The sequence below is a fragment of the Homo sapiens genome, chromosome 5, assembly GCF_000001405.40.
Source record: "Homo sapiens chromosome 5, GRCh38.p14 Primary Assembly".
In the NCBI taxonomy this organism is placed as follows: domain Eukaryota; kingdom Metazoa; phylum Chordata; class Mammalia; order Primates; family Hominidae; genus Homo; species Homo sapiens.
Window position 1 is genome coordinate 78,768,560 of NC_000005.10, and position 20,613 is coordinate 78,789,172.

The window sequence follows — 20,613 nt, forward strand, 5'->3', positions numbered from 1 at the left end:
GGTCTCGATCTCTTGACCTCGTGATCCACCCACCTTGGCCTCCCAGAGTGCTAAAATTACAGGCATGAGCCACCCGCCCCAGCCGGGATGACATATTCTAAAAGCACCATCAGCGGAAGCCCACAGCAGCCCCAGTCAGGTCCTGTCTTCAGAAGGTGACTCCCCAAAACTGTTGCCTGAGAAGCAGGGACTTTGCCTCATCCCAAACAGTAAGAGGGGTGGTGGACATAATGACTCTGGCTTCGCTACTTAACTTTTTTTTTTTTTTTTTTGAGATAAAGTCTTTCTCTCACCAAGGCTGGAGTGCAGTGACGCAATCTCAGCTCACTGCAACCTCCATCTCACGGGTTCAAGTGATTTTCCTTCCTCAGCTTTCTGAGTCACTGGGATTAGAGGCATGCACCACCACACCTAATTTTTGTATTTTTAGTAGAGATGTGGTTTCGCCATGTTCGCCAGGCTGGTTTCGAACTCCTGACCTCAAGTGATCTGCCAGCCTCGGGCTCCCAAAGTGCTGGGATTACAAGCATGAATCACCATGCCTGGCCCCAGCTACATGGGGCAACAATGTTGCCAGTTTAGCCATCAATGTATTTTTCTAACCAGGTTGTGTTGACCAGTAGGGAGTCCTCTAATTTATATATTAATCCAAAACATGCTATCTGAACCTAAACATAGTTTTTGTTCCTCTTTTCAAAGATAGATCCTTGGCCAGGTGTAGTGGCTCACACCTATAATCCAAGCACTTTGGGAGGCTGAGGTAGGTGGATCACCTGAGGTCAAGAGTCCCAGACCAGCCTGGCCAACATGGTGAAACCCAGAGGCATGGTGGTATGTGCCTGTAGTCCCAGCTACTTGGGAGGCTGAGGCAGGAGAATCGCTTGAATTCAGGAGGTGGAGGGTGCAGTGAGCTGAGATCACGCCACTGCACTCTAGCCTGGGTGACAGAGCAAGACTCCATCTAAAAACAAAACAAAACAAAACAAAAACACCCCAAAACAGAGATCCTCACAAAGCAATATTCTTTATAAGAAAGTCCACATATCCAGGCCAACACTTTTGTTCATCCCAATCCCCAGAAATAAATCATTACAAACAGAACTTTCAGAAATATTCTTTGTATCTGAAGTATTTGTTACTCTTCACCTCAGAGCCCTAACCACAGAATGTAAGGACCTATTGACTTTGTAGCCAAGAGAACAGTCTACGTTGCTAGTAGAAATCACCTCCTCCTCCAGAATTCAGCAAGACGGTACCTGACTGTAACTACAGATTAAATAACAGCTGATGTCAACTGGTCATAGAACTAGATACAACATTCATTCCGTTCTCAAGCCAGCACTCTCATCAGAAGCTGTAGTGATACTTTATGAACCCACCTGTAAATTTCATCTGTTCTTCATATCAGCATTGTGCTGTTGGTTTTGTCTGCAAGTTCACTGGGAAGATGGCACAGATGGCCACCAACTTCTGCGACCTGTGTGTGGGGAGGCGATTTTCATGTGAAGTATATGAAAAACTCACTAAATTTAAAGATATTTGTAAAATCCCGGAAGCCACTAATTAGCATTTCATCCTACTATGTCTCCCTCTTTAGTTGTTGCTGCTTCTTGGCTGAACCAAGAAGCCAGCCCCCTCCCTGGCTTCCCCGCCCCCACTCCTCACATGCCTTTGTCATGCTGGTGTTCTTCTTCAACTCTAGCTTTGGCCATCACTCACCACAGATTACCTGGATCATAGATTGCTTGAACAGGATTTCCTACAAATTATCCTCAGTCCTTTGAGGGGCAGGTCAAAGGCAAGGGAAGGGGGCCAAGGGCTAGGGGTCCAACCATGCGCGGGAGAACAGAGCGGGGGCTTTGAGTTAAGAGCTTTGAGTCTGGGCTCCAATTCCAATGCTACTGGCCGAGCGACTTCACGCAACATAATTTCTAAAATGGCAAAAACATTTATCTAAAGAGTAGATATTATTGTGAAGGGTTTAGTGGCCACTGTAAGAGTCAGTAGTGTCTGGCCAATAATGCATCCTTAGTAAAGGTTAGTTCCTTACCTTGCTCCTGTAATTAGCAAGATATGGCACATCTGATGAGTTAAACCACAGAATCCAAAGAGGCTGTGGTGAACTGGGGCCAGGTGAGGCCACGTGGGCACCCAGGGGCTACGGGCTGGCTGATGAGACAGAAAAGGGGCAATTTCTAGGTATTAGTAACACTGAGTTTCCTGGGGTATAGGAAGGGCCCTTATGATCTAGGGGACCATAGATTATAATTGTAAACCAAAAAGTATCTGAGACAGGTCTCAATCAATTTAGAAGTTTATTTTGCCAAGGTTAAGGACATGCCCAGAAGCAAAAAGCACGGAATCAAAGAAATGGTCTGGGGTTTGTGCCTTTCTCCAAAGATAATTTTGAGAGATGGCTTCAATATTTAAAGGGGAAGCTGGGTGTGGTGGCTCATGCCTGTAATCCCAGCACTTTCGGAGGCTGAGGCAGGTGGATCACCTGAGGTCAGGGGTTTGAGACCAGCCTGGCCAATATGGTGAAACCCCATCTCTACTAAAAATACAAAAATTAGCTGGGCATGGTGGCGCACACCTGTAATCCCAGCTACTCAGGAGGCTAAGGCAGGAGAATTGCTTGAACCTGGGAGGCAGAGGTTGTAGTTTGCCAAAATCGTGCCACTGCACTCTAGCCTGGGTGACAGAGCAAGATCCAGTCAAAAAACAAAAACAATTAAAGGGGAAAAGCAGGCTGGAGAAGAAAGAGGGAGGGTATGGAAATCCACGTGTTGCAAGAAAAAGGATCAGGTAGGACAATAGTCAATTATGTATTCGTCTCAAGCTCAGTAAATTGGCACTTTACCGATAAGGTGAACCTGTGAAGATATTTAACCTTTTATCTGTAGCTTAGCTTTATCTGCTTAGGAACAGAAGGAAAGGCAGTTTCTGCATGAGTCAGCTTTCAGCTTAGTTTTTTTTTCTTCTGGTATAGTGAATTGGGGTCCCAGTTTTTCTTTTCCTTTCACACAACCTTGGAAATTAAGGTAGAGAAAGGGGATCAGAACCTGACTCAGGGAACTTCTTTTGTTCTTTCTTTTACTTCCCACACTATACTGATGTAATCAGGGAACTTCTTAACCCAAGAAACTTACGTGTTGTTTCTTTCTTCCTCCTCTCAGTATTGACTTATTTCTTCTAAACATTTCATCTCTGTCTATTGCATCTCTACCAACTTGTTTATTGACTTTCCTGGCTTCTTCCTTTGGTTGGATCCTATGATTTTCTACTGTCTCGCAGAGGATGTGTATGTTGATTTCTTATCGTGTTTATACATTTCACTCATTTAGAATTCTTCCCTTGCTTTGGGGTCTCCAGGCACACGAGCAAAACAAACTGTTAGAAAAAAAAGTGCAGCTGTGATTCTTCTTGGAGGAAATGACAGGCGGAGGGGAGAGTAGTGCATCAGGAAGTGAAGTCGCCAGTCACCATGGAGCACCACCCAGCACCAGGCGTCGGGCCTGGGCACATCAGAGCCAGCGTGCCTGCCCCAGAAACATTTCCTTGTCTCTAGGGCAGTGTTGCCAAGTCATACACCTGACATTACCGACATTGAATTACAGTGAAAAGTGATTCACTCTTTATTCTCTTTCTTTCCTTCCATGCTGGAAACAGTTCCTAGCTCAAGTTTAAGAACAATACATATTACTGTGTCTATTTTTGTGATTATCAATGATAGAGGTATTTCTTTTATCATGGTAATAAAAAAGCATTCCTTTAAAGTACTAGAATAAGTAAAGAATATCAATTTAAGGAAAGGCACCATGGTAAGACCCCCACTGACGAAAAGGCCTGCATGGGCCCCAGCGGTCTGAGGTGGGGCTGGGAGGGGCTGCTGGGGGGCTGCAGAACCTCTGAGATCGCTTGGCATCCCCCCGGCCCTGGCTGCCTGTGGCGTTCCAGCTGCTTTTTTGGGCGGGAAAGGAGCATCTGTGGACCTCAGTGATAGAACTGCAGGTCCCACTGAGACGAACCCTTATCCTTGTCCTGGAGTCCTGGATGTGGGGGGGCCCCATATTTCCATCACCTGTATGAGTTAAAGCCAAACACTTTCATTCATGCTCTGGCCTAAGAACCAAGGAAAACCAGATGCCCTATTATGAAGCCCCAACAAGTAACCTTTTATTTTTTCTTATTTTTTTTTGAGATGGAGTCTTGCTCTGTCATCCAGGCTGTCAGAGTGCAGTGATGTACTCTCACCTCACTGCAGTCTCGACCTTCCAGGCTCAAGTGATCCTCCCACTTCACCCTCCCAAATAGCTGGGACCACAGGCATGCACCACCACGCCCGGCTAATTTTTATACATATATTTTTTGTAGAGATAGGGTTTCGCCATGTTGCCCAGGCTGGTCTCAAACTCCTGGGCACAAACGATCTTCCCGCCTCGTCCTCCCAAAGTGCTGGAACTACCGGTGTGAGCCACCGCGCCCGGTCCAAATAACCTTTTCAAACCAAACCGGCTGCTTCCCTAACAGATCCAGAGTACATGCTAATCAAAGGTTTTGCCTTTAGAAATACTTTATACAGAAAGAATTCACAGCTCTCATGTGGGTAAAAAACGAAAACAGGCCGGGCGTGGTGGCTCACGAGGTCAGGAGATCAAGACCATCCTGGCTAACACAGTGAAACCCCGTCTCTACTAAAAATACAAAAAATTAGCCGGGCGTGGTGGCGGGTGCCTGTAATCCCAGCTACTCCGGAGGCTGAGGCAGGAGAATGGCGTGAACCAGGGAGGCGGAGCTTGCAGTGAGCAGAGATCGCGCCACTGCACTCCAGCCTGGGCGACAGAGCAAGACTCCGTCTCAAAAACAAAACAAAACAAAACAAACAAAAAAAACCCAAAAAACAAAAAACAAAAATTAAGACAATGTAGGTTTCCTTGCTGGGCTTCACGCAGCATTCCTCTGACTGGTGAGCCCCTCTGCTTTCCCATCCTGTCCTGGGTCCTTCTCCTCCTGTCCAAGCCTCACGTTTGTGCTCCGCTGCAAGTGAGCATCCTGGGAGCAGGGACTCATCAAATGCCCCCTCACCCCCTGCTGGGGTCTGGCCGGGCTTGGGTGCCTTTATCTTCACCCAGTGCATGTTACAGCATGAGCTTGAATGATTTCACCTATAAAATGTTGACATAAAGGGCAAATCTAAACTTCGATTCATTTAATGCAAATAAAAGCCCAGTAAATCCTGTTTACCTGTTTTCCCGAGGAAGGAGGAGCGTGCGTGTTTATCTCCTCTGTCTGGCTCTGCAAGGCTCTGGTCTGCACTAGAGGCAGAGTCCCTTCCTTGCTGGCCTGAATGATCACACACTGGCCCCTCGGTGTCCAGGCCCCCTCCTGAGGCCCGTGGAGGAGAGTGAGCACAGGGTGGGGTGTGAGTGTGAAACCACGGCCCTTTGGAGTCAATATCCTGGGAACATCTGGACCTCATTAATGAGATTAAAAGGAAGATTTCCTGAAGACTGACTGACATTTACCTACCATCTTGAATCTCTAAGAGGGCTCAGCAGGGCACAGTAGGATTTGAAAACCAACCTGGGAAGGGGCCACTTAATTACTGTCTTGTTACAGGGGTGTAAAGGTTCACGATGGCTGTCTCCAGGTGGTGGTTTACGGATTGTTTAATTTTGTTATGTTTTCTATATTTTTAAAAATTGTAATAGTAATATGTATTATCTCTATTGTCAGAAAAGTAATAAAGGTGATTAAATGAAATATCTGAAGTGCAGTCAATGACTGGTGACTTTGGTGAATTAGTTTGAGAATGAAAACATCTCTCCAGCTTCCTGATGGCCACAAATCCCTGATGTCAGGCCCAGGGAGTTGCCGCTCTCCTCTTCTGCCATCCTGGCGGTGGCTCCCATGGCACCAGGGCAAAGGTACAAGAGACGTGGTGGTTACTTCTATACCATCTGAATCCACCTGGGTAGCAGGGATGGTCAGGGCTTTTCAGCAGGAACCAGTCTATACACAGTATGACTATTCTCTACTTGAACAAAAAATAGGATTTAAAGTTTAAGTGGTCACTGCAAAGGATAATAATTATTTCAATATATTTAGTATCGGCCAGTATGATGGTTAATATTGAGTATCAACTTGATTGGATTGAAGCATGCAAAGTATTGTTCCTGCATGTGTCTGTGAGGGTGATGCCGAAGGAGGTTAATATTTGAGTCAGTGGACTGGGAGAGGCAGGCCCACACTCAATCTGGGTGGGCACCATCTAATCAGCTGCCAGTGCAGCTAGGATAAAAGCAGGGAGAGGAACATGGAAGGACTAGACTGGCTGTGTCTTCTGGCCTCCATCTTTCTCTCGTGCTGGATGCTTCCTGCCCTCAAACATCAGACTCCAAGTTCTTCAGCTTTTGGACTCTTGGACCTATACCTTTGATTTGCCAGAGGCTCTTGGCTTCCCTACTTTTGAGGTTTTGGGACTCGGACTGGCTTCCTTGCTCCTCAGCTTGCAGACAGTCTATTGTGGGGCGTTACCTTGTGATCATGTGACTCAATTCTCCTAATAAACTCCCTTTCATATATCCATCTATCCTATTAGTCTTGTCCCTCTAGAGAACCTGGACTAATACAGCTGGCATTTTATTTTAATTTTTTTTGAGACAGGGTCTCACTCTTATCCAGGCTGCGGTGCAGTGGTGTGATCATGGCTCACTGCAACCTCGACCTCCCAGGCAATCCTCCCACCTCAGCCTCCCAAGTAGCTGGAACTACAGGCATGCACCACCATGCCCAGCTAATTCTTAAATTTTTTTGTAGAGATGGCGGGGGTTCACTATGTTGCCCAGGCTGGTTTTGAACTCCTCGGCTTAAGCGATCCTCCCGCCTCAGACTCCCCAAATGTTGGGATTACAGGTGTGAGCCACTGCACCTGGCCAATTTTCTTAAAAACACTTAAGCTGAAAAGAACTTTATATCATAGAATTAGGTTGTAAGCCTCTTAGGTGCAGGGGCCATGCCTTTAGTTTTGTTTGTATCATTTCTCTGGTCACTATACCTCCTCCCCAGCACCTGATACATGGGTATGAATCCTTCTTCAGGAAAACCTGTGCAGCAAAACCTCAATTTAGGAAACCGAAGTCAATGTATTTAGATTTTGGAAATACAAAAGCAAAAATTTGCATTTACAAAAAGATTTACAAAAAGGTTTCTTCAAATAGTGAATTCCTCTGCATCATTTAAAATGTTTTATTCACAAATGTTTATGTTTACAAGCCCATTTTGGTTATTTTCTTGACATAAATCATTTTACACTTGAACAAAGATTGGCTATTGAAAAAATGGAAGAGATGAAAACCAAGTAAGCCTTTTACAATTAAGATTGAATGAATGTAAACATTACTTCCAGTTATTTAAAAATTATATTAAAGGCTGGGTATGGTGGCTCACACCTATAATCCCAGCACTTTGGGAGGCTGAGGTGGGAGGATTTCTTGAGTGCAGGAGTTTGAGACCAGCCTGGGTGATAGAGCAAGACCCCTGTCTCAAAAAAAAAAAAAAAAAAAAGAGGCAAGAAAAAAATTATGTTAAACAAGATACTCTTTTTAAAGCAGCTAGTACAATGCCTGGCATATAGTAAGCACTCAAAAAAATTAGCAGCTTTTATTAGAATACTTTCAGAAAATGAGATTTAGGAAATGAGTTTAGAAAATCTCAGGCTATTTTTTTTAGCACAGTATTATTTCACATCCTCCCATTGGATTTCAGTCATTTGAGAGCCAATCAACCAACATTTATAGAATATCTGTGTGCCAGGCATTGTTCTGGACACTAGGGATATGAGACTTTAGCAATTATCTAATTCAACTCATCACTTTACCAGGAAAAAAACCGAGGCACAGAGAGGATGAAGTGATTTGTTCATGGTTAGTCTACTGCTAAATAGCAAAGTTGAATGCTTTTTCTACCATCTCTTTTCAAACAGCAGCATTTGATAAATGCATGTGGACTTGACAATCTATTCCCCAGGAGGCTAAACGAGACCATTTTCCTCTGATGTGGTGTGAAATAAGTCCACAAATCTGACACTCCCTTTGAAAAGTAAGATTTTCCTCCCCTAGAATATGGGCTGGCCTTAGTGACTCATTTCTAACAAATAGAAAAATGGTATAAGTGACAGTGTACACCTCTAGAGACTAGGTCATGAAAGGCCCTGTGGCTCCCTGTTTATTTGCTCTGGAGGAAGTTAACTGCCATGTGTGAGGACATCCAAGCAGCCTGTGGAGATGCCCACATGGCAAGGAGCTGAGGCCTCCAGCCAAGAGCCTTGTGAGTGAGTCAGCTTAAAAGTGGAGCCTGCAGCCCCACTCAAGTCTTCAGATGACCACAGGCCTGCTTGACAACAATCTCACGAGAGACCCTGAGCCAGAACCACTGGGCTAAACCACTCCCAGTGTCCTTACCCTCATAGAATGTGTGAAGTTATGAATGTTTATTGTTTTAAGCTGCTAAGTTTTGGGGTAATTTGTTACGCAGCAATAGAGAGCTAATACTCTCTTTTACTGTCACTTTGTTTTCACTCCTACCCTTCCTTGACCTCCCTCTAATACCTTATTTTATAGTTTATATTCTTAGGGCAATGATTGACACTTTTTTTAGTTCTAAAATTTTTACTATATTTATTTATTTAACAGCTTTACTGAGATATAATTTATGTACTATAAAGTTGGTTGACACATTTAAAAATTGTAATAAAACATAAAACTTAACATTTTAACCACTTTAAAACATACAATTCAGTGGCAGTAATTGCATTTATGATGTTGTATAACCATGACCACTATCTAGTTCCAGAACTTTCTCCTCACCCCAAATGGAAGCCCCATACATATGGCTGACACATTTTAAAAGATTAATTTTATTTTGTCCCCCAAATCTGGGGGGACAAAAGTAACAAAGAAAAATGAGCTCACAATTAAATAAGCAAAACCTTCTGTAAAGGTAAAAAAATTTGCCGGGCACAGTGGCTCACACCTGTAATCCCAGTGCTTTGGGAAGCTGAAGTGGGTGGATCACTTGAGGTCAGGAGTTTGAGACCAGCCTGGCCAACATGGTGAAACCCTATCTCTACGAAAAATACAAAACATAGCCAGGCGTGGTGGTGTATGCCTGTAATCCAGCTACTTGGGAGGCTGAGGCAGGAGAATAGCTTGAACCTGGGAGTTAGAGGCTGCAGTGAGCCGAGATCACACCACTGCACTCCAGCCTGGGTGACAGAGCGAGACTCCATCTCAAAAAAAAAAAAAAAAAAAATTGGAAAGAAATAACATTATTTCTAACAACAATATATCAATCTTTTCACATTCTTATATAGAATCAGAGAATCTAATGAAATACATTCTATTATGGATAAACCAAAATCTCAAGTACTTGTTTTACAAAAAATTAAGTCTTCAAAACTCTTTTGAAGTCCACTGGGTGCAGAACATCCCCCACTGTGCCTGAAAACCAAGGAACTAGAACTGGAGACAGCTGTTGGGAGGACAGCAGCGATAACAGATAGGTGCCCTGTAGCGATGGCCTCCAACGGCTACCTACACCCAGCCCTGGGATTCGGAGGATGCAGAAGGAACATCTGGGCTCAGCTATTTCATGCTGTCGGCCATACACTTCCAAGTGGGAGGTGATGGCAGTTTGGTCAGCTGTTTGCCAACCCAGGAGTTGGGTAAAGGTTGGTAAGAGATGTTATTAGTTTTAGCACCATTTCCTTCCAATAGTCTCATTTTAATACAATACAGGTTAGTAGTGACCAGAAAATATTGCTACTGAATTGAAGGATGACTATACAAGGACTTATATCAGATTATTTGTTGCTTTTAGTTTCTAGTGTCCCATAAAGTATAGAAATGGAAATTGCTGACAAGAGAGTACCTTTGGTAGGCACAGTTCCTTTTCTCCCCCCACTGGAGAGGACGCTACAACCTTGCTATAGAGTGTCCTGTGACTGCCCAGTGATGTAGATTATGCTCCTACCCCAGGAGGGGCAGCTTGAGAACAGAAAAGCAACAGCTGGAAGACATTTATATTACCTCTGTATTCAGCTCATTGGACTAGCATCTTTCATGGTGTGAGACTTTCTCATTTACTCATTTGTCCATTTATTCATTTGTTTTAAAAAATGAGGCCAGGCATGGTGACTCATGCCTGTAATCCCAGCACTTTTGGAGCCCAAGCTGGGATAATTGCTGGAGCCCAGGAGTTTAAGACCAGCTGGGCAACATAGGGAACCTTGTCTTTTCAAAAAATAAAATTAGCTGGGTGTGGCGGTATATGCCTGTAGTTCCAGCTATTTGGGTGCCTGAGGTGGGAGAATCACTTGAGCCCAGGAGTTTGAGGCTACGGTGAGTTGTGATTGTACCACTGTACTCCAACCTGGTGACAGAGTGAGATCGTCTCATAAAGATATAAAAAATTAAAAATAAAATAAAAATTAAAAAATGAGTGCCTTCAGGCAGTGTTCCAAGCATTGGTGAACACAATGGTGGGGCTAATGCAGAAAAGAGTATCATTTTTGCACACATTTCTCTGGGTTTGACACTCTCTGGAGCTAATATGGACTGTTCCACATTAGTAAGACATTAGTGGGATTGAGAAAGGGCTGCAGGTGTCAAACTGCATCCTCTTTGCCAGACCCCAGAACCTCAAAACAAGCAGTAAAACAGAGAATAAGAGGACTGTGGGTGTGCCCTCCTCTGCTTTACCAAGGCCCAGTATCCCAGACACTGGCCACTTGCTTTTTCATATCCTTTCCTGAGGTTTCTTCTCACTGCTAGTAAATAGCAGTGCAAGTCTTAATATATTATGAAATAAAGCTACAATCACAATGACTAACTCCATGCAATATAGGAAAAGCCTCGCTGAACAGATGCCACAGAGCCAAGCATCTCCCACCCAGCCCTCTTAGTGTCTACCATGAACATCCTCACAGAGCAACTCCACCGCCTATTACGGGGAGGCCTCTAGCTTCAGCCCTAGGGGCAAAAGTAAGGCAGGGCTCAGCAGCGTTCCAGAAATCAGGGGTGCTCAGGTAGAGAAGCAAAGTGGCCTTCCCAGGGATAGGACTACTGAGGTCAAAAGGAAAGGCAGGAAAAGCCACAGAAGAATTGGAAGTGGCAGGAAGTCTAGACAGAGTGAGCAATGGCTGGGGGGAAATAAATTACGATAAAAACACATTTCTTTATTTTAAAAGCCACAGTCATGGTGCAGGCATTTTGCTGTTGACCTGAACAACAAAATGGGCCTTATGCTCTGTGATGAGATAAGTGAGTAAGGGGTGAACCAAGAGGGGTGGTTCACTTGGAGTGCCTGAACATGATCCTTCACCGACAGGGAGAAGCCTTGGCCAACAGAACCATTAATCACTGTCTGCTCCCTTCATTTGCGTAAGAAATGTGATTCACTCCAATAAAACTGGCTATTGGCAGAGGGGAATCGAACGTCTGACTTGTGAGTCTAAAAGAGCCAGCTGTTCCAGCCTCCAGGATTCAGTGAGAACTTCCTATTTCAAGTTAAGTTCCCAGCTGTCCCAAGGCTTAGGAAAGGGGGATAAACCCAGCCACCCCCACCTCTAGACACATGCTCCAGCCAACAGCAGGAGTGTTGCAGATTTTATCAGCTTCTTAAATGCATTAGGGGTTGAAATTAGACACCTCGGTGTGGTTTAAGAGCAAGAGAAGGGCCAAGTGAACCCAGGTTGGGATAACAAATGAGACAAGAGTCGTGAGAAAAGGCCTGAGGTCCAACTTCCAATTGAAAGGTTTTCTAGCCTCCCTGAAATCCTACATCCAAGGGCCCCACACCCCAGTGGCCTTGGGATCACAGCGGGGGTCCTGTGCAGGGAAGTACACGGGGACTGAGTGTTTATGGTAGAACTGTAGGCGGGACAGGAGCTTTGTGACGATGTGAGGATATTCTCTGGACAGGTCATGTCTTTCTTCAGGGTCCCGATCAATATCAAAGAGCCAGAGGGTCTTGGTTGGTGGGTCTGATGAGGGTATCTCAGAAACATTGTATTGAGACGGTGGAGGGAACCAGTAACCACAGCCTAGCAAAGAAAACAAAACAGTTTACTGAGGGAGAAGCACAGAGGCAGGTTCTAATTTCAGGGAAGGAGTCTGAGGCCAAGGCTGCACTGGGTTGTGGGTGTGGAAACATAAAAAGATGCGGCCCTAGATGCTGTCTCTAGATGCTTCTCAGACTTGACTTCTGGTGCTTTAACTAGACATGTCTCACTGCTTCACAAGCAAGGACACCCAGAAACGTGTGTGCATGTGTGTATGTCCTTGTCACAAGGACTAGGGCATAGGGGTGCTCCTGGCATTTAGTGGGCATGAGCTAGTGATGCTAAAGTCTTGCAATACATGGGACAATCCCAGTCAAAAAAGACTTGTCATATTGCAAACGCCAAAAATGTTCTCATTGTAAACATTGATTAATTACATCACAGCCTTAACCATCATCCCACATATTTTAAAAGTATTGAAAAGATATCACTCTTAGAGAATATAATCAGAGGAGCAACCTCCTTCCCCAGCTATACCACTGGTTGAGGGTGTAGCTCTCAGAGACTCTCTTTGTTAGCTAAATGTGCTGTGCTTGATAGCCACATATATTTAAAATCCGTATTTTCCATGAAGCATAAGAGTGACATTTCTTCCTTTCACCCCTGCTACAGTTAATTCTCTCTGTCTTTCTCTCTCTCTCTCTTTTTTTTTTTTTTTTTTTTTTTTTGGTTAGGACGAGTAGGTTAAACCATTTCTTCCTATCTCCTCATTCAGCAGCCCCAGAGATATGTTTTGCAAAAGGCATTTGTTACTTCGGTAAGCTTCTCCTTGATGATCCACTGGGAAAGCTTACTTGCACCATGACAATGATGGAAGCTGTGTAATTGGGAACAGGCGGAGTCTTAGAATTGGGAAAAGAAAACCCTGAATAAATAGTTGTCTTTCTAGGACATATATCAGGAGGGATCATGAAAGATTAGAAAGACAAATTAAGATTTCAGGTATCTGAGCAAAGTGAGGTAAGTGGTAGGGCTTAGGGGCCTTGAGGAGGAGCCACAGAGGAAGAGGTGGGAAACGGTTAGAACAAGAGTGATAATGTCCTCTCTTTCCAGAGAAATGGCCGTGGGAATCAAATCCCAGGAGGGCAGATAGACTGGAGATACTGCCCTGAGGACACAGCCCTGCTTTGTCTACCACGGGAAGGGAAGTTTGCTAAGCTAAGGACTCTACCTGGGTAGCCCGTGAGGAGTTTCCAATTTCCATGTCTAATTGCAGCATGGACAGATGTGTTAAAGGCTGAATATTCTGGAAGAGAAGAGTCATCCTTTGCTGGAGCCATGCTGTTCCTGGGACCTGGGAAGAAATAGTTTGAAAGAATTAGATCACTGTTATTGGAACGTGTTGTTATAAATCAGCATTTTATACCCTTGCAGAACAGTAGCTTTTATTCAACACTGGAGTGCAAATGTGTATCTTGCCACAGAAATGAATCTTTTATTAAATCCAAACAGAAAGCTATAGTTACATGAAATGTCAGTCATAAACCACCGCAAATATAAAGGAAATCCCAAAGAGATTACAACACTAATTCATCCTTAAAATCGCTATGTTCTGCCAATGTACAGCTAGCCATATGCAGAACAGTGTTCTGTTACAGCAGAGTGACTTTTTTTTGGTTTTTGTTTTTGGCTGTTAAACATTTAAACACACTTTCTGTGTATACTTATACCTATGTAAATAGTATAAGAAATTATAAAATGTACATTTTCATGCAGTCATTTCAAGCTATGAGAGTTCATGCATGCCATGATAGAGTACAAAGACTTATTTTTTAACAACTCTTAAGGAATCTAAAAGTGAGCAGTGCTCAGTTAACTATTCAGACAGGATAACTATGGGGGTAAGAACAAATTTGGTATACAAATTTTTGGCTGGTATCATGGATTATATTAATTTATCATTTTTGAGATCTTAATTGATCATCAGGTTGGTTTTTTGCTTTTGTGGGGAGCAATTACTAATCTCTACCACCTCTTAAGTTTGAAACCAATTAAGAGGTAGAAGATAGACAGATGGAACAAAAAATACTGCTTTTGTTACTGACAAAATTGACTGGAGAGAATACAGCTTCAGATCTGTAGCAGAGAGATCTTGTTTGTAACTGACCCTTGACTTAGAAAGATTTAATCCTCACCATTGATCTTGCTGAACACCCAGTGGGCTCCCTTAGAGCACACAGCCAAGAGCAGACCAGAGTGCTTACATATATCCAGGTGACAGGCTGGCTGGAAATTGGACAGCAAAAAGGGTCTCGGTTGAACATGCTCAGTTCCTCCTTTTGAATAACTCCTTCCTTTGCCTGATTATGAAAGGAGTGAACAAGGCAAGAGTTCTACTCTTGTGGAAGACCCTGGTGGGTCCACAAGGGCCCTCACCTCACTCCTACTTATGCCTATGGTTGAGGCCTAGCTGAATAACATATAGTCTGTTTTAAGCCCACATTTATCTGTTAGCTTTTCAAATATGGTCACAGCAATCATCTTGGGATCACTTCGAAAGGTTGCTGAACCACCAGCCTAATAATTAATTGTCATAATATGTGATATGTCTGTAAAAGTATAGACTCCATTGGAGTGGTTAACCCATCTGTCTGCCTTCCTTCGATAATAGACTTTGAGAGAGCCCTTATCCTCACCCAAGCAGGACTTCTGTGCTCCTGGGGTTTTCATGCAGGGTGTGTCGGTGGTGGAAAAGGCGGGACATGCCATTCTTTTGACAGTCTTTTGGAAATGACCTTGTAGAGACAAGCTGGAGACAGATCCGGCAAACACTGGTGCTTTCAGAACTTCAGTCTCAACAATCACACAGCAGCAAATCTTTAGCACCAAAGAGGAAAATATTTTTGACTTCTTGTTTCTCTGCTTGCGGATATTTTGGCTCCAATACAAATGGATACTTCTAGTACTTGAGGTGCATGAGCATGTCTATCACAGGAAATGGTTGCTAACATACAGACTGTGGTAAAACTGTGAACCCTCATGGTTTACTCCTCACAAGTTTGTATGAAGGCCACATTTTGATACCAAAGAATGTTAAATAAAACAAGCATGTTTTGTGAACACAAACAAAAAAAGGAAATTTAACTATCTCATCTATACTTATATTTATACACATTTTTTTCTTAAGACAAACAGGAACATAAAATACCTAAACAATAAATAAGCCTAAGACTAAACTATGAAAGATACTATTATCTTGACTTTATTGTTTTCATTTTGAGAAATTAAACAAAGGGAAAATTACAAAGAATAATATGACTAACACCCTATGAGCCATCACCCAAAATGAACAGATGTTAACATTTTACCATGTTTGCCTTTTTTTAAAAAAAATAAAAGAAACTGGACAATAAAAATGAAGTTGAAGTCTCCTTTGTTCTTATCCTCAAACCCTGTCCTTTCATTTACTCCTCTAGAGGCTGCTGCTATTGTGACTTCAGTGCATCCTTCAGCCATTTTAAAATGCAGAATACATATGTGCCAAGGGATAATATATAGCACTGTTTTATGCTTTAAAAATGTATGTGTGTACTGTTGGTGGGAGTGTAAATTAGTAAAGGTATTATGGAAGACAGTATGGAGGTTCCTCAAAAAATTAAAAATAGAACTACCATACAGTGCAGTAATCCCACCACTAGGTATTTATCCAAACGAAAGGAAATCGGTATACTAAAGGGTTACCTGCACCTCCATGTTTATTGCAACACTATTTATAATAGTCAAGATATGGAATCAACCTAAGTGTCCATCAATAGATGAATGGATAAAGAAAATGTGATATATAGACACAATGGAATACTATTCATCCACAAAAAAGAGTTTGTTGGTAAAGCCATCTAGGCCTAGAGTTTTCTTTGTGGGAAGGTTTGAAATTATTGATTTAATTTCCTGAGCAGGTATAGGACCATTTAGATCTTCTATTTCTCCCTTTGTCAGTTTTGATAACTTGTATTTTATTAGGAATTTGTGTAGTACATGTGAACTTTTGTTTTGTATTATCTTTTAAATGTTTGTAGCATCTGTAGTAATATTGCCTGTTTATTCCTGATATTGGCAATTCATGCTTTTCATTTTTTCCCAAGATACGTTTTGCTAGTGTTTAATTGATTTTATTAGTCTTTTTTTTTTTTTTTTTTTAGATGGAGTCTTGCTCTGTCACCCAGGCTGGAGTGCAGTGGTGCGATCTTGGCTCACTGCAACCTCTGCCTCTGGAGTTCAAGCAATTCTCCTGCCTCAGCCTCCTGAGTAGCTGGGATTACAGGTGCATGCCACCATGCCCAGCTAATTTTTTGTATTTTTAGTAGAGACAGAGTTTCACCATGTTGGCCAGGCTGGTCTGGAACTCCTGACCTCATGATCCGCCCGCCTTGGCCTCCCAAAGTGCTGGGATTACAGGCGTGAGTCACCGCACCTGGCCTGATTTTATTGGTCTTTTCAAACAACAAACTTTTGGCCTTGTAGATCCTATCTGTAGTATGTTTGTTTTCTATTTCATTAACTTCTTTTATCTTTATTATTTCCCTCCTTTTATTTTCTTTGGGCTTAATTTGTTATTTTTTTTATAACCTTTTGAATAACAGATATTCAACATTTTCATTTCTAATACGGACTATGAATTATCCAAGCACCAATGTAAAAAACATGTAGTCTGAAGTTGTTGGGCTCAATGCTCTGTATATCATTTAGGTCAAGTTTGTTAACTATGGTGTTCAAATCTTTTATATCTTTATGGACATTTTTGTTTGTTTGCTTGTTCTATCAGTTACTGAGAGAGGTATGTTAAAAATCTCTTCTATGACTGGATAATTATTTTGAAAACTCCCTCTTTAATTCTAATAGTGCTTTCCTCCTTTAAATCTACTTTATCTGATGTATAGATAGCTCAGTTTTTAGCTGTCATTGTTGCTGCTGTTAGTACCTGCATAATATATTTTTTCCATCCATCTGTCAACATGTGTGAGACTCTTATGCAATAGAAAGAAGTATAAAACAGGGTATGATAGGCAGGATAATGGTTCCTCAAAATGTCAACATCCTAATCTCCCAGAACCTATGAATACATCACCTTCCATGCCATAAGGGACTCTGCAGGTATGATTATAGGTAAGACCTGTAAGATGTGAGGATTATCTCAGATTTATCTGGATGGGCCCGATCTAATGACATGAGTTCATAAATGCAAGGAGTACTTCTTGATTATGGTCAGAGGGAGATGTGGCTGCAGAAGAAGGGTCAGAGAGGTGGCAACTTTTCCTTCTAATCAATAGGGAGACATAAGAGGAATTTAAATATATTTTTTAAAGAGTATATCATATAGTTCACATATGATCAAATTCACCCATTTTTAGTGTAAAATTCTATGGTTTTTAGTATGATATATTCACAAAGTTGTATAACCATCACTGTAACATATTTTAGAACATTTTTATCACCCCAGAAAGAAACCCTGCACCATTGGCAGTTAATCCCCATTTACTCCCACACCCTCCAGCCCTAGGCAACCCTTAACCCACTTTGTGCTCTGGATTTACCTATTCTGGACATTTTATATAAATAGGATCAGACAATATGTGGCCTTTCGTGTCTGGCTTCTTTCACTTGGCATAATGTTCTCAAGGTTCATTCATTTTGTAGCACGTATCAGTACTTCATTCTTTTTAAATAATGAATAATATTCCTTTCATTCCTGTATATTGCCAAAAATATACCACATTTTCTTTATTCATCAATTAATGGACACTTCTTTGTTTATACTTTTTGGCGACTACGAGTAATGTACCATTAACATTCATGTACAATTTCAGTGTGGATGTACATCTTCACCTCTCTTGGGTATATATCTAGAAGCAGAATTGCTGAGTTATATGGTAAGTCTATGTTTAACCTTTCGAGTAACTGCAGAGCATTAAAAAATGGCTGAAATGTGTTCTGTATTACATTCTCAATTTTATTCTTTTTAGAGACAGGATCTCACTCCATCACCCAGGCTGGAGTGCGATCTTAGCTTTAGCTCACTGCATCCTTAAACTCCTAGGCTCAAGCGATCCTCTCACCTTAGCCTCCAGAATAGCGGGGACTACAGGCACATGCCATCATGCCCAGCTGATTTTTTATAGAGATGGGGGTCTTGCAATGTTACCCAGGCTTGTCTTCTGGCCTCAAGCAATCCTCTCACTCCAGCCTTCCAAAGTGCTGGGATTACAGGCATGAGCCACCATACCCACCCAATTTCATCCTTTTGTATATAGATATCTCAGTTGTCTCCAGAACCATTTGTCTGAGAGAGTATTTTTTTCCTCTTTAATTGTCTTGGTATCCTTGTCAAAACCCAATTGACCATAAGCATGAGGGTTTATTTCTGGACTCTCGATGCCATTCCATTGATCTATAGTTATTAAAAAATCGATAACCATCTATCTATCTATCTATCTATCTATCTATCTATCTATCTATCTATATAGATACAGGTTTCACTATGTTGGCCAGGCTGGTCTCTAGCTCCTGGCCTCAAGCGATCCAGCCTCCCAAAGTGCTGGGATTACAGGTGTGAGCCACACACATAGCTGATCTATGTCTATTCTTATGCCAGTACCACACTACCAGGACTTGTCAAGCTTAGTAGTAACCTTAGAAATCAGCAAGCCTGAGTCCTCCCACTTTTATTTTTTCCCAAGATTGCTTTGGCCGCACTGGGTGTTTTCACTATTAACTTGACAGTGTATTGGATAAACTGTCAGGACCCAAGACAGGAGGCAGAGGTTTCTTAGAATGTTAACAAACTTTTAAAATTTCGTTGACAGAGTTGGACTAGATGCCAATTTAAGAAATATTTGTTGATTAACAACTGTATGTGGTAATACAGCACTGTGTTCTGGAATTCCATGACATGAAGTGATGAGCAAAGAGACATCTAAGAGAAGTTCCCAAGGTGAAAGCCAAGATATTTGGTGACAAAAGAATATAAAAGATAAATAAAATCCAAGGTTTTGAGTTTGGTGATTGAGAGAATACTGTTGATATTGGCAGAATAGAGATGTTCAGACGGGAAATAGTGGGGAGTAAAGGATTCTGGAATGAGACATACTGATTTTAGGAATTAACTTGAGCTCAAGGTAGACGGCTCCACAACATATTGGAGCTATAGGACTGGCCTCTGTCTGACAGACTGAGGCACACACTAAGCACCACCCGCAATGCAGTGATTGCTTAACCCTAGAAGTGGATTCGCTGCCTAGGGAGGGAAGCAAGAAAGCAGACGCCCAGAAACAGAGCACTGAGGGCCAAAGGAAAACAGCAAACGGAGTAGAGAGGAAAATAATATGAGGAAGTGAACCAGTTAAACAGGACATTACAGAAGCCAAGAGAGCAGAGGGTTTCAGATGGCGAATCAGAAGAGCCAAATATTCCATCTATTAGCTTGATGAATGAGCAGAAGCTAGGGAGTTAAGAGAGAAGTATAAACAAACAAATTTTTCTCGTTTCCTTCTGAGCTGAAAGCCACCTCTGAGATAATAAAGCTTTCTGGCCAGACAGAAATATTCAGCTATAAGATGGATTAGCCGTGTGTATTGATTTTGGATGGGAAAAAGGAGATCAGCAGAAAATTTTAGGACTGATGAAATATGTTACATAATACGTAGTAAACTTACAGCACTCCTTATCTGAGCAACCCCTAGAAATTGGGAGTTGTTTGTTACCAGAATGAGGTGGCCTGGTGGTGGTTTCAGTGGAGAACTGTGTTCTCCAGACCCAAAGTAGGTTCTGGAAGTAACTCAGAAGTTGTCTTGAAATAGGATGGTGAGTTAGTGGGTCGGGGTCCAGGTTCACCATCTCCATTTCAACAGAGTTCAACTCCTTAAGGAAGAATCTATAATATCTGCTAAATATGTTGTACTTCTCTACATTTTTTTAATTTATTTTTTTATTTTTTGAGATAAGGTCTTACACTGTTGCTCAGGCTAAAATACAGTGGTGAGATCACAGCTTACTAGCTTACTGCAGCCTTGAACTTCTTGGCTCAAATGATCCTCCTACCTCAGCCTCCTGAGTGGTTAGGACCACAGGCATGTGCTACCATACCTAGCTAATTTTAAAAAAATTAGAAAAAAAATTTTTAAAGAGGCCACTATGATTTTTGTAATTGTTTCCCTACGTTACCTGGCTGGTCTGAAACTCCTGGCCTCAAGCCATCCTCCCACCTTGGCTTCCCAAAGTGCTGAGGTATTATAAGTGTGAGCCACCACACCTGGCCTACATTTTTGTTTGAAGAAAGGGTCTATGGCTAATATATATAGTTTGAAATACACTAATTAGTGATTCCAATGGGTTCACCAAAAAGGGAAGGGACTGAGGGGAGGGCTGGAGATACTTCTGATCTTCATGAAAGGCAATCCTACTCTCTTGACTGCACAAGGCATCCTCTTGACCTTGGAAAGTATTGTATAATACAGTCTATGATTGTACTTTTAGGAAACACAGTATTTTTCATAACA

The 20,613-nt window shown here is 42.2% G+C and overlaps 1 protein-coding gene and 1 long non-coding RNA gene across 7 annotated transcripts in view; both read right to left on the reverse strand.

The window, feature by feature from the left end:
* Window positions 1–4,241, reverse strand: part of LOC124900191 (uncharacterized) — a 115,042-nt gene extending 110,801 nt beyond the window's left edge. For 3 of the 4 annotated variants that reach the window (XR_007058832.1, XR_007058830.1, XR_007058833.1), the window contains exon 1: window positions 1,380–1,504. This is a non-coding gene — a long non-coding RNA (uncharacterized LOC124900191). Of the gene's footprint in view, window positions 1–1,379; window positions 3,029–3,149 lie in introns of those variants that run through there. The other variant, XR_007058831.1, reaches the window with a different exon arrangement.
* The window catches only part of ARSB (arylsulfatase B), a 208,750-nt gene continuing 196,786 nt past the window's right edge, over window positions 8,650–20,613 (reverse strand). For 2 of the 3 annotated variants that reach the window (XM_011543390.2, NM_000046.5), the window contains 2 exons: window positions 13,293–13,415; window positions 8,650–12,103 (listed from right to left, as the gene is read on the reverse strand). In XM_011543390.2, the coding sequence (XP_011541692.1) occupies window positions 11,838–12,103; window positions 13,293–13,415 (389 nt within the window). In that variant the 3' untranslated portion in view covers window positions 8,650–11,837. Of the gene's footprint in view, window positions 12,104–13,292; window positions 13,416–14,757; window positions 14,939–20,613 lie in introns of those variants that run through there. The other variant, XR_001742066.3, reaches the window with a different exon arrangement.